This window comes from Homo sapiens, chromosome 2, assembly GCF_000001405.40.
Source record: "Homo sapiens chromosome 2, GRCh38.p14 Primary Assembly".
Classification (NCBI taxonomy): domain Eukaryota; kingdom Metazoa; phylum Chordata; class Mammalia; order Primates; family Hominidae; genus Homo; species Homo sapiens.
In genome coordinates, this window is record NC_000002.12 from 108631223 (window position 1) to 108643533 (window position 12311).

General features: G+C 44.4%; 1 protein-coding gene across 13 annotated transcripts in view, besides 1 other annotated feature; it reads left to right on the top strand.

Moving 5' to 3' along the window:
- Positions 1–12311, top strand: part of LIMS1 (LIM zinc finger domain containing 1) — a 153576-nt gene that overhangs the window by 97552 nt on the left and 43713 nt on the right. The window lies entirely within an intron of this gene.
- Positions 5059–5633: an enhancer, noted in NCBI's record as "H3K4me1 hESC enhancer chr2:109252737-109253311 (GRCh37/hg19 assembly coordinates)". NCBI's record gives its function as "activates a minimal SCP1, AML or CMV promoter by ChIP-STARR-seq in naive H9 embryonic stem cells {active_cell/tissue: H9 hESC(naive)}" and the evidence as "EXISTENCE:reporter gene assay evidence [ECO:0000049][PMID:30033119]".

Here is a 12311-nt window from a genome sequence, read left to right on the forward strand (position 1 = left end):
CCCTTCCCTTCCTAGTTTTGAGTGTAAATACACTTGTTTTAAGTTGCTGAGTGAGAGTGGGTGAGGAGTCTGGGTATAGCCCACTGGCCTGGGTCCAGTGTCTTGAATAACTACTTAGTAATTGACTTCTGCAAGTCAGTTATTTTTAGGAGCTTTGAGTTTCTCCCTTTGCTAGTTGAATATGATCTGTAAAAGAAGTGAATGTTCTTATATTAACAGATTTAGACCTACTCAAGGAGGATTTATTGTGTTTCATTTTAAATATCAAATGATTGTATGCTGTGGAACAAAAGGGACTCTGTCTTGGATGCTAATCTACCGTGTTGCCTTTTTTTTTTTTTTCTAAGACATCTGTTATAGCATGCCATGTTGACTTCTGATTAGCCTCCTTTGAGACCTTTGAATGGCTCCTGATTACTACTTTACTTACTGTCCCTAGTGGAAGAACATGTCAACCTGGATGTTGTCACACAGACTCCAGGCTGTGATGCGTACGGCATCCATGTTCTGGAGGGTTGTCTGCACACGTGCCCTTTCTTCATGGTCTGTAAGCCCTGGGTCTGGGAGCAGTGGTGCAGAGATCTGCCTGTTTTGTGGCTGACCAAGACCACACTTCTGTCTGTAAGTTCCCTCAGTAAATCACCCAATACCAACAAAATAGATTTGTCTTTCTCCTTCTTTAGTTTCTCAGCTCCTTCACATTTGGAACCGCTTTGCATATATGCCTCCTTCACAGAATAGGTACTTTCGTGTTTGTTTGTTTGTTGAGATGCAGTTTCCCTCTTGTCACCCAGGCTGGAGTGCAGTGGTGCAATCTTGGCTCACTGTAACCTCCACCTCCTGGGTCCAAGCAGTTCTCCTGCCTTAGCCTCCTGAGTAGCTGGGAGTACAGGCGCCTGCCACCATGCTTGGCTAATGTTTGCATTTTTAGTAGTGACGAGGTTTCCCATTTTGGCCAGGCTGGTCTCGAACTCCTGACCTCAGGTGATCCACCTGCCTTGGCCTCCCAAAGTGCTGGAATTACAGGCTTGAGTCACCGTGCCCAGCTGATACTTTCCCTTTTTACTCTTTGGGAAGCCACACATGTTTGAAAAGCAGAAAGTTAATTGCTTTTTACTTCCTAAGTACCTTGTGTCAGTGATTTCATCTGCTAAATTCAGCCATCTTCTCTGCCTTGAAAGACACCATGTTAAAAGTTAAGTGCTGATGCTGCATAGGATGTAGGGTCCAGGTGTCTCAAGGTCAGGCAACGCGCATTCTCAGAGTGTGATGAACAGTGAAGGAAAACTCAAGGGAGGATATGCCCAGAGTCCTGATGTTCTGGACACCTTGTTCTTTATCAGGCAGTGCTAGATCTTATTGCACAAAATGGTATTTGGGGCCAAATGAATGGTAAGCGAGCCAAAGAGAAGCCTCTCTGCCTCCTCAGCTTTGAAAATGTAAGAGGGAATGCAGATACTGCTATAGAATCAACATGTGAGTAGTGGCACTTCAGCAACTTCTACAGAGCTGTACATGAGTGCCTGGGATTGTGGCCTCAGAGAACTGGAATACTGGCTCAGGCTACTTAAATGTAGATGAAAATATTAAACCAAAAGGAAGGTAAATTGACCTTGAAAAGTCTGTTTATATAAGCAGTTTACTTACAGGCAATCTGTACCTGCATAGCAAGTGTACACATTGATTTCTGAATGAGAAAGCACTGACATTGCCTTATGAGCCATTATGATATTGTTCTTCTGATTATGTTTGTGCTCAGGTTAATAAAGTGTACCAGGTGACTCCCTTGTCCCCTTCCCCCTCCACTCCAGGAAGCATCCGTGTATCCCCTGCTCTGCTCTGAAATAGAACATTTAATGTTCATCATGACGGCAGTGGAAGATTTGGTTTTGCCTTTTGAATTATTCCTGCTCTTCTGTCCCTTTGTTTTTGCCAGCATCTTAATTCTTACTAATTGATTTGGTGAGGTTATTTTTATGTATTCTTTTAACACAGAATTATTTTTTGTGTTTCAGAGCAGTTTTATTTCAAAGGATAAAACTGTCTCTTGAAATAGTCATGTGGTGCTTTGTCTGTAATAGGTTAGAATATTGCCATCCATAGAAGAGTAAAAATGACTGCTGCTTTTAAATAGGCTTAAATTATTGACTTTTTATACAACCAGCATAGGCGCTGTCATTAGAGCGTCAGACCTCTTATATTCAGTCTGAACATAGTCCAAATAGTCACCATATTTATTAGTTTATTTGAACCACTCTCAATTTCACCATTTGATTTGCTTTCCTAATAGGTTCTAAACTCTTTGAAGCTCAGTTATTTTGTTCTGTTTTCTCAGCCTATGAATTTGGCCTCTTGCCAAGTTAGTTTTGATTACATTTTTGCTTTTTCATTTATGAGCTGCCATAAAAGAGATTGTTCTGTCTTATGCTTTACTAATAGTTGGTTAAAGGTTTGACTTAAAAGACTTGGTTGGCCCAGAGTCATACAAGTGCATGTTTGCCATTCTGAACTGAAATCCCTGGCGACAGTGCTGTTTATAAAAGGATTAGAGCAGGGAGTTTTGTTGCCCTAAAATCAGGAAAATTAAGTTTTATTTTATATTATTTAAGTAATTAAATGATAAGAAATTTACACACAGGTGTGTGTGTGTGTCCATCCTTGTGCCTCAATTGCAAAATTTCCTGAAATAATCTCCCTGAGCTCCATCGTGGTGTTTCTCCCACCAAGCTTTTCTTGTGATTCTGTCTTGCACACCACCGTTCTTTAGAAGTAGTATTTCTTGGAGGTTTGTGTTTGAGATGGGGACTGGATGCTGGCTGTAGCCTCTTTGTGGCTCCAAAGGAAAGAGGAGGGAGGATTGTCCTCAAAGACTCTTACAAGGGTAGAGAGGGAGGAAGCAGGCTGGGCAAAGCTCAAGGAAGTCCATGCAATAACTGACCTGTGTCAGGTTGGGGTCTCCTTCTAGCAGGATGTCTGTAGGGGGAGGGAAGAAGGACTGCAGGGCTCTCTGGTGTGCCAGCTGCCAGCTCTCATGCAGCACTCAGTTTTCAGTGACTCTCATGTTAATTCAGCATGCCAGCTGTTCAATTTAATGTCTATACCAATGGGGAATGGGAGAGAGGTAGATAATGAGGAAAGAGAAGAAATAATGAGGTAATATGTCATCTCCTAAAAGCTCATTTTGTAACAGAAATTGTCCAGACTGTTACTGCATTACATTTTAGGTTTTTCTCAATCCCCTCAGAAAACAAAGAAGCTCATACAGAACATTGCCCCTACCACTAGCAAGAGGCAAATCTTTCAGCCCTCCCAAGGCTGGCTTTCAGGCTCCTGAAGCTGTGCCTTCTGAATGTGACACCTTGTCCTGGCGACATCTCTGGAGAGACGCCACACACATCAGTGTTAAGTGGTACACATGGTCCTTTTCACCACAAATGTCCTGAAATCGAGGGACTATTTAGAAAACAGGCGGCTGCTTCATTCTATTGTGGGAGTGATGTGACAGGAAGGGAGGCTCAGGAATGACCATGACAGGAAAGCATGTGGAGCACTCACAGTAAAGCTTCACAGAAGCCCTCACGGCCAGGCGCAGCAGAGCACAGCGACTGCCCAAGGAGCTGCTGTCCTAGCCACCCTCCCAGTCATCTTCAAGAAGAACAAAAGTTCACTGATCGCCTCAGTTCCTTTATTCTCCTCTTGTTCTTGAGGACTGACCAATGGGTGTGTGTCCCTGTTTGCCTCTTTGCTGGGGTCACAGAGGAACCCAGGAGCTCACATTGAGTGGCCCCCAGACATGTCACTGGGGCCAGAAAGTGCCATGAGGATGGGGGTCTACACTGGGGTGTGGGGTGGCCATATCTTCTGGCCCTGACTTGAACAATGAGTCCATGTGTGGCCTCTAGTTTACATAAATAAAGAATGGCTGTGGCTGGGCGCGGTGACTCACGCCTGTAACCCCAGCACTTTGGGAGGCCCAGGCGGGTGGATCACCTGAGGTCAGGAGTTCGAGACCAGCCTAGCCAACATGGTGAAACCCCATCTCTAAAAATACAAAAATTAGCTGGGTGTGGTGGCAGGTGCCTGTAATCCCAGCTACTCAGGGGGCCAAAGCAGGAGAATCGCTTGAACTCGGAAGGCAGAAGTGGCAGTGAGCTGAGATTGCACCATCACACTCCAGCCTGGGGGGAAAGAGCAAGACTTCATCTCTAAAAAAAAAAAAAAAAAAAAAGAATGGTTGTAATCCCAGCACTTCAGGAGGCCAAGGCGGGTGGAATTCAAGACCAGCCTGGTCAAGATGGTGAAACCCCGTCTCTACTAAAAATACAAAAATTAGTCAGGCGTGGTGGTGGGTGCCTGTAATCCCAGCTACTTGGGAGGCTGAGGCAGAGAATTGCTTGAACCCAGGAGGGGGAGGTTTCGGTGAACTGAGACCGCACCACTACACTCCAGCCTGGGTGACAGAGCAAGACTCCATCTCAAAAAAAAGAATGAGGTAGACAGACTTGGACTCCCGTTTAACTGACAGGTTTATTATTCTGTACCTTTACGTGATAACACACTCCTCCCCCCCGTCTGTTCCTAGTTTTGAATGTAAATACAGTTGTTTAAATCGTCTGTTCCTAGTTTTGAATGTAAATACAATTGTTTAAATTCCTAAGTGACATCTTGGAGAAAGAGCCCAAAAGGTCTAAGTACCATCAGCTGCAGAGTCCTCACATAGGCTGCCTCTGTCGGCCTGGGTCCAACCAGGAGAGAAAACCCACACGCTAATTTGAACAGGAAAGGTTTAATATAAAGATAGAATTACTAACTCTAACAAGGTTTTGGAGTAATAAGGAATTGGCTAGTAAGAGGAGAGAAAGCAAAAGAGTATAGGAATAGCCGCTGTAAGGAGCAGCCACGGACCCTAGAGCTGAGTTAGAGTGCCAAGGGAGGAGCCCTACTCCGTGCCCGGGGTCACACTACCAGGGCATGCTGCATGCAGAAAAGTCGCTGGCACAGATTGCTGGAAATCCTCCTTTCCAATACCAGAGAAGGCTGTTCCCAGTGAGTTCCCTCACCCAAGGTACCCCCTACATAGCTGACTGCCAAGGGATGGGTGCTGCTGGCTGCATGCACCATCAGGGTCCAAGGCACTCTGCTGTAAAACTTTTGAGGGGCCAGTGCCACTGAAGCTGGTGCTAGCCACCATGCCCTGCAGGAGCTAGACACCGAAGAAGCCAGAGTGCTGCAGGAGCTTTGCCCAGGGAGCAGGCAGGACTGGGAAGCAAACCTCTTCCTCCTGCAGTGTCTCTCCAGCACCCTCTACTGACAAGGTCTCAGTGCTGCTCATAGAGGACAAAGATTCACAGAGGTAGCAGTAACTGCATCACCAGCACCTAGCAATATCCCAGTGATGCCTCCTACAGGACACAAGGGGGTCTGTCTAAGTGGGTAATTGCCATATTTTTATATATTATTGCTAGATGTATAGAATACCACTTTTTGAGAAGAGGTAAGGAATGGAATAAAGAGCTTCCTACTTAGCCCTGTGAACTGCTTTCAAAAACCATAGCTTCATTCCGTGACAGAGAATGGAGAGCTCTGTGTGGGGAGAGAGGAAGGTTGAGCACAGGAGCCTGCAGAACAAGAGGAGTGACTGAGGCCCCTGGGAGATGCTGCTAGCCTGGTTGTAGCTGGGCAGTGTTACATGAGCACCAGCTTACAGTGGTTGACCTCCTGACCTTATACTATTTCCACATCTTTTTTCATTGTACTTATGGCAAAATCTAAGTTATGGTAGCTGAAATAATCCCTTGCCTTTCTGTGTACATTTCACAAAATTTAAAGTTAATGAAAGAAAAGAAACCTTTTTAAATTCAGCAAAATATACATATATGTGTGTGTGTGTGTGTGTGTGTGTGTGTGTGTGTGTGTGTGTGTGTATTTTAGTTCCTCTGCTTCATCCTGGTCAGTATTTTCAAATGCTGTTTAATGCAGTAAAATCTACACAAAACATGTTCTGTGTCAAAAAGAAAATAACGGGCAGTGAAAGATATGTACATTTGAATTTGAAAAGGTTCATTGTTTTCACTTGACTCAAGTGAAATGTTTTTTATTCTGTTCTATTCTGAAATTCTCATGGTTTTCTTTTACCTTATCATTGAGGGAAGTAAACCCCGTGTTAAGCTTAGTCACAAAATAAAAACTCCCACGGACTTCCCTCCCAGTGTAGCTGAAGGTTAATGTCCAGGGAGATAGCCTTGACTGAGTCAGAACTAAAATAAGGGTGTTATTTAGAGCCAGATACTCTGGTGCTACAGCCACTACAGCCGTGTCAAGAGCTCCTGACACACTGGAGGCTGTCACTGGTGATCTGGGCGTTCTCCTAAGTCAGCATTCCTAGCTAAAAATACTGCCATTCTGTATTGGAAACACAGCTTCCTCTAATTTGTCTGTTTTGACCAGAACACAATGTTATCTTTTTAAAAAGCTGTTTAGGTGTGAGAATGTATGTTAATGGATCACAATACGAATAAAAATAAAAGAATGAAAAGATAAGTGATTTGAAATATAAAGGAACTAGTACAGAGACATTTTCTAGTTAAAGTTTCTAAATGGTCAGAGAAAAATCACCTAACCTATGAGAGAAAATTTTAAGATTTTTTTTTTTTTTTTGAGACAGTATCTCGCTGTGTCTCCCAGGCCGGAATGCAGTGGCATGATCACAGCTCAGTCATAGCTCACAGGCTCAAGCGATCCTCCTACCTCAGCCTCCTTAGTAGCGCCTACAGGTGCATGCCACCGTGCCCGGCTAATTTTTCTATAGAGATGGTGTGTCACCACGTTGCCCAGGCTGGTCTCCAGCTCCTGAGCTCAAGTGATCCTCCTGCCTCAGCCTCCCAAAGTGCTGGGATTACAGGCATGAGGCACCATGCCCAGCCCAAGAATGTTTTTAAATTGACTAAACACTGCTTATTTGAGGGACCATGGGAGAAAAAAAAATTGTGAGGTGGCTTATAGATTTCAAACTATAGTGATTCTGATTGATCGAGCTGTCTTTCTTGAGGAAAGTTACGCCAAAGGCAACGAGCTAGACTGAGCTGTCTGGGTGTCTGGGTAGGGACGCAGCTCACCAGGGCTTGCCCTCTTTAGATGCCCTCTGCAGGCAGTCTAGGGACTTCTCTCAAGATGTCCAGTTTGATTAATTGCATGATGACAGTGTGCTTGGTGCCATGAGGGGTATAAAGATTCAACAGAGGCTGGGCGTGGTGGTTCACGCCTGTAACCCCAGCACTTTGGGAGGCCAGGGCGAGCGGATCACCTGAGGTCAGGAGTTCGAGACCAGCCTGTCCAACATGGTGAAACCCCGTCTCTACCACTAAAAATACAAAAATTAGCCTGGTGTGGTAGCACATGCCTGTAATTCCAGCTACTCAGGAGGCTGAGGCACGAGAATCACTTGAACCCAGGAGATCGAGGTTGCGGTGAGTCAAAATTGCACCACTGCACTCCAGCCTGGCAACAGAGTGAGACTCTGTCTCAAGAAAACTAAGCACAGGCTGGGCACGGTGGCTCACGCCTGTAATCCCAGCACTTGGAGAGGCCGAGGCGGGTGGATCATGAAGTCAGGAGATCAACACCATCCTGGCTAAGATGGTGAAACCCCGTCTCTACTAAAAACACAAAAAATTAGCCGGGCGTGTTGATAGGCACCTGTAGTCCCAGCTACTCGGGAGGCTGAGGCAGGAGAATGGTGTGAACCCGGGAGGCGGAGCCTGCAGTGAGCATGGATCGCGCTACTGCACTCCAGCGTGGGTGACAGAGTGAGACTCCGTCTCAAAAAAAAAAAAATGTCTACTTAAGGGCCTCCTGGTGTTCTTAAGGAGATGAGGAGCACCTTTGCGATACAGAACACAACATTATATCCAATGAAAATCTTACCCACTCACTGCATGGGACACACAGTGGGTGCTATGGCTGCTGAACAGAAGATCGATAAGGCCTGGAATGTCAAGAAAGCTTCCTGGAGAAGATCTTGAGCAGGTACTTGAGGACTGGGCAGGTTTCTGATAAGCAGAAAGTTCAGGAGAAAAAAAAGGGACAGTGGTATTCATCCAGAAAATCGTATGTCCTTTGTATGTTTCACCCAGTGCTGGAAATGTTGATCATCACTTTTAAAGATAATTCTAAAGTCACCTTGCAACAACCCTGCATTTATTTAAGATCATATATCATATATGTGTACATGTTTTTGTTTTGTTTTTTTGAGACTAAGTCTCGCTCTATCGCCCAGGCTGGAGCGCAGTTGCGCCATCTCAGCTCATTGCAACCTCCACCTCCCGGGTTCAAGTGATTCTCCTGCTTCAGCCTCCTGAGTAGCTGGGATTACAGGCACCTGCCACCACACCCGGCTAATTTTTGTATTTTTAGTAGAGACAGGGTTTCACCATGTTGGTCAGGCTGATCTTGAACTCCTAACCTCATGATTCACCCACTTTGGCCTCCCAAAGTGCTGGGATTACAGACGTGAGTCACCGTGCCCAGCCGTGTACATGTATTTTAAAAAGAATAGAGCTCAAAATGTTAAAGTACTTGTTTCCAGTTGGCAGGAATATGCGTGATTCTTCTCTGCCTTTCATACATTTTCTGCAATAAGCTATATTGCTGTTGGGCTGATAAAAGTTGACAAATTCAACTTACCAAACCAAAACAGTACAGTTCAGTGATCCCATCCCAAAGCACTTACACATCCATGCGCACGGGCTCACAGAAACTGAGGCTTGCCATTGTTCAGTCATTTGTTAGTGTTCTGCTTTTAATGATTGCACCTTTTTGCTGCCCATTCTGTTTTCCCATCCAGTCTCGTGTCTTTCCATGATGGGTTTCCTGTGTGATGGGAGTGTCTCCATTATCATAGGGACAGGATGGCTTGTTGCAGGGAGTAAGAGCGTCACAAGAGTGTCTGAGGCACTCAGGGAGTGTCATGGAGAAAGGAGAGAGTGCTGGGAGGAGCTTGATTTCAGTCTTTCTCCTTTCCCTTCCCCAGGCTCCATGTCCTTTACAAAGTCCTTTGTGGGTAGATATTTGTTGGTTGGTTCATGTTAGCAACTTTTCTAGAGATCATCCAGGGAGAGGTGCTTCTTAAGAAACAAGCCACCACATAGGTCGTCAAGACTTAAAACTGGTTAGGATTGAGTAACTGACCTATTTATTTGCAGTACTTTCTGCCTGTTGTGGGCAGTGTCTCTGAGGCCACACAGTGCTTTCAGACCTGCCTTGTGTTGCAGAACCCCATGGACACTGAGGTTGAGCGTGGGGCCATTCCTGCCTTCTCTGGGCTGTCCCTCAGTACACCTCTGCCTGGGGCTCCTGAGTGGCCACTCTCTTTTGCCTGTGGGCTTTGGGAATAAAACTAGGATAGTTTTCCCTCAGATACTAGAGGAGGAATTTTTTATTGATACATAATAATTGTACATATTTATGGGGTGCATGTGTTATTTTGCTGCATGCATGTAATGCATAAGGATCAAATCGGGGTAACTAGCATATCCATCACTTCAAACATTTATCATTTCCTTGAGTTTAGAACTTTCACAATCCTCTTCTAGCTTTTTGAACATGCGCAATAAATTATTGTTAACATTAGTCACCCTACAGTGCTGAGGAACCCAAGAACTATTCCTGTTACTCAGCTGTAATGTTGAGTCCCTTAACCTCTCCCTCTCTCCCCTCCCAGCCACCCTTCCCACCCTCTAATAACCAACTCTGCGTTCTAATTCTGTGAGTTCAATTGTATTTTTGCTTTCACATATGAGTGAGAACATCTGGCATGTGTCTTTCTGTGCCTGACTTATTTCACTTAACATAATGTACCCCGGGCTCATCATGATGCCACCACTGACAGGATCTAATTCTTTTTTTGTGGCTGGATGATATTCCATCTGAAACGATGTATTTTAGATGATTTTAAGACTTAAATGGGTGCCTGCTAGTTTTCTTCCAGAAATATTTCAACCTGATATCATAATGGCATTTCACTCATTTTCCTTTTAAGGGAAATAAATACAGTTAAGATATCATAAAGTTTGGGATGCTAGAAACCTATCTGCAACACCGAAGAGAGTCTCTAACTCTTTAGATTAAGTTTCATTTCAGAGGGAGTTTCTTGAAGACAATTAGATGCAAATAGCCTTCTCACAATTACAACCTCATTGTAATTTCTGGACTTTGATTCCAGTGTTTGGGATGGTTTGGGCCCCTGGGATGGGGTTGATGGTGCATAGGGAGAGAATTTGTTTTGTTCATTTCATTATTGTTAGGTGATAATCTTTTAGTGACTCTTCAGTTATTTTTAGCATATGTAACAAAGCCACGGTAGCTCTGCCTTACTTTGATAATAATCCCAATAAGCAATGCTAATACAAACATGTAAAAAATGTGCTATTTTCTTTATTTTAAACTAGCTTGAGAAAATGTACATTATTTCTTTATCACTGTCTTGCTTCTGTGGTAATGAATAATTTCTTTTTGCCTGTGCATTCAAAAATTAGGAAAAAAAATTGACAAGGCAAAATGGCATATTAATTACAAATCCGTATCTTTTTCTGGCCAAACTTTGTCTGTTTTCTCACTGTCTGTTGAAAGAAAATCCAGTGCATTTGTTCTAGAAGCTACAAAATGGGAAGGAACTTCCCAGTTTCATTATCTTTACTTGCATGTCATGATTGTTTTGTTTTTAGTAGTCTGGGGGAAATTAGATTGTATTTTCCATTTGAGCAGGATAGAGGATGATAGTAGAAACAGTTCATTTTGGCATATGATAATTTCACCAGGCCACCCCAACAGTTCAAATACCCCATTATGACCTGGAAGCCTTTGAATGCAGTTGGAGAAGCTTCATCTAGTAGTTGTTATTGCCAAGTGCTCCGTTTAGCCATCAGTTATGCAAATCTATTTGTGGAATAGAATGAAGCATTTACTAAGCACTCCGCTTTTTCTATATTGGAGTCCTGTATTTTAGAGGCAATTGGTTAAAATGTCTAGTTTGGCTTTTAAATCCTACAGATATTTGGTAATGATGTACATAAGTCCATCATTACTACTTAAGAGGAGTAATTTTAAGCTACTAGTGTTTTTTGTTTTTTTTTTTTTTTGTTTTTTGTTTTTTTTTTTTGAGACGGAGTCTCGCTCTGTCGCCCAGGCTGGAGTGCAGTGGCGCGATCTCGGCTCACTGCAAGCTCCGCCTCCCGGGTTCACGCCATTCTCCTGCCTCAGCCTCCCGAGTAGCTGGGACTACAGGCGCCCGCTACCACGCCCGGCTAATTTTTTGTATTTTTCGTAGAGACGGGGTTTCACCGTGTTAGCCAGGATGGTCTCGATCTCCTGACCTCGTGATCCGCCCGCCTCGGCCTCCCAAAGTGCAGGGATTACAGGCGTGAGCCACCGCGCCCGGCCGCTACTAGTGTTTTTTAAAAGCTGCTTTTTAAAAAAATGTTGGCTGCTATTTTCATGACTTTATTCAGGCCTTAATTATTTGAGCTGCTGAAAATAGCTATAATTTTTTGCATGATATCTCCAAGTAGCTTATTTGTATTTGGCCATGGCTTATGTCAGAGGTGGAGTTAGTTTTGACTAAAATCATGAAGTTAGCAGACAGTTGGAATCTGAAGCTTTACAGCCTTCTTTACAGGACACTACTGTGTGCCAACTTTGCATCACTGTGCAGTGAGTGGGGGCCCTTAACCAAGCTATTGGACTCATGCAGCCAGGGTCCTAGATTTGCCGCAGTAGGTCAATCATTCCATAAGTGAAACACGCAGTAGATGATCAGAAAATGACAAATTCATCAACTGTTTTCATAAAGTAGAAATCACTCTGCTCTGGGTGGATTTAAGGAACATGTGGGGTTCAGACCTGTCCTGTAGGATCTCCCAAAGACCCAACTTAGCCATGAGGGCTGATTAGAGTATAGAACCTCTTAAGAAACGCCCTGGATTTGTTGGCAAGATGGCAAATAGGAACAGCTCCGGTCTGCAGCTCCCAGCAAGATTGGTGCGGAAGGCAGGTGATTTCTGCATTTCCACCTGAGGTACTCAGTTCATCTCATTGGGACTGGTTGGACAGTGGGTGCAGCCCAAGGAGGATGAGCCGAAGCAGGGTGGGGCGTTGCCTCACCCGGGAAGCGCAAGGGGTTGGGGAACTCCCTCTCCTAGCCAAGGGAAGCCATTAGGGACTGTACCATGCACCCCGGCCCAGATGTTGCACTTTTCCCACGGTCTTCGCAACCCACAGACCAGGAGATTCCCTCTGAAGCCTACACCACCAGGGCC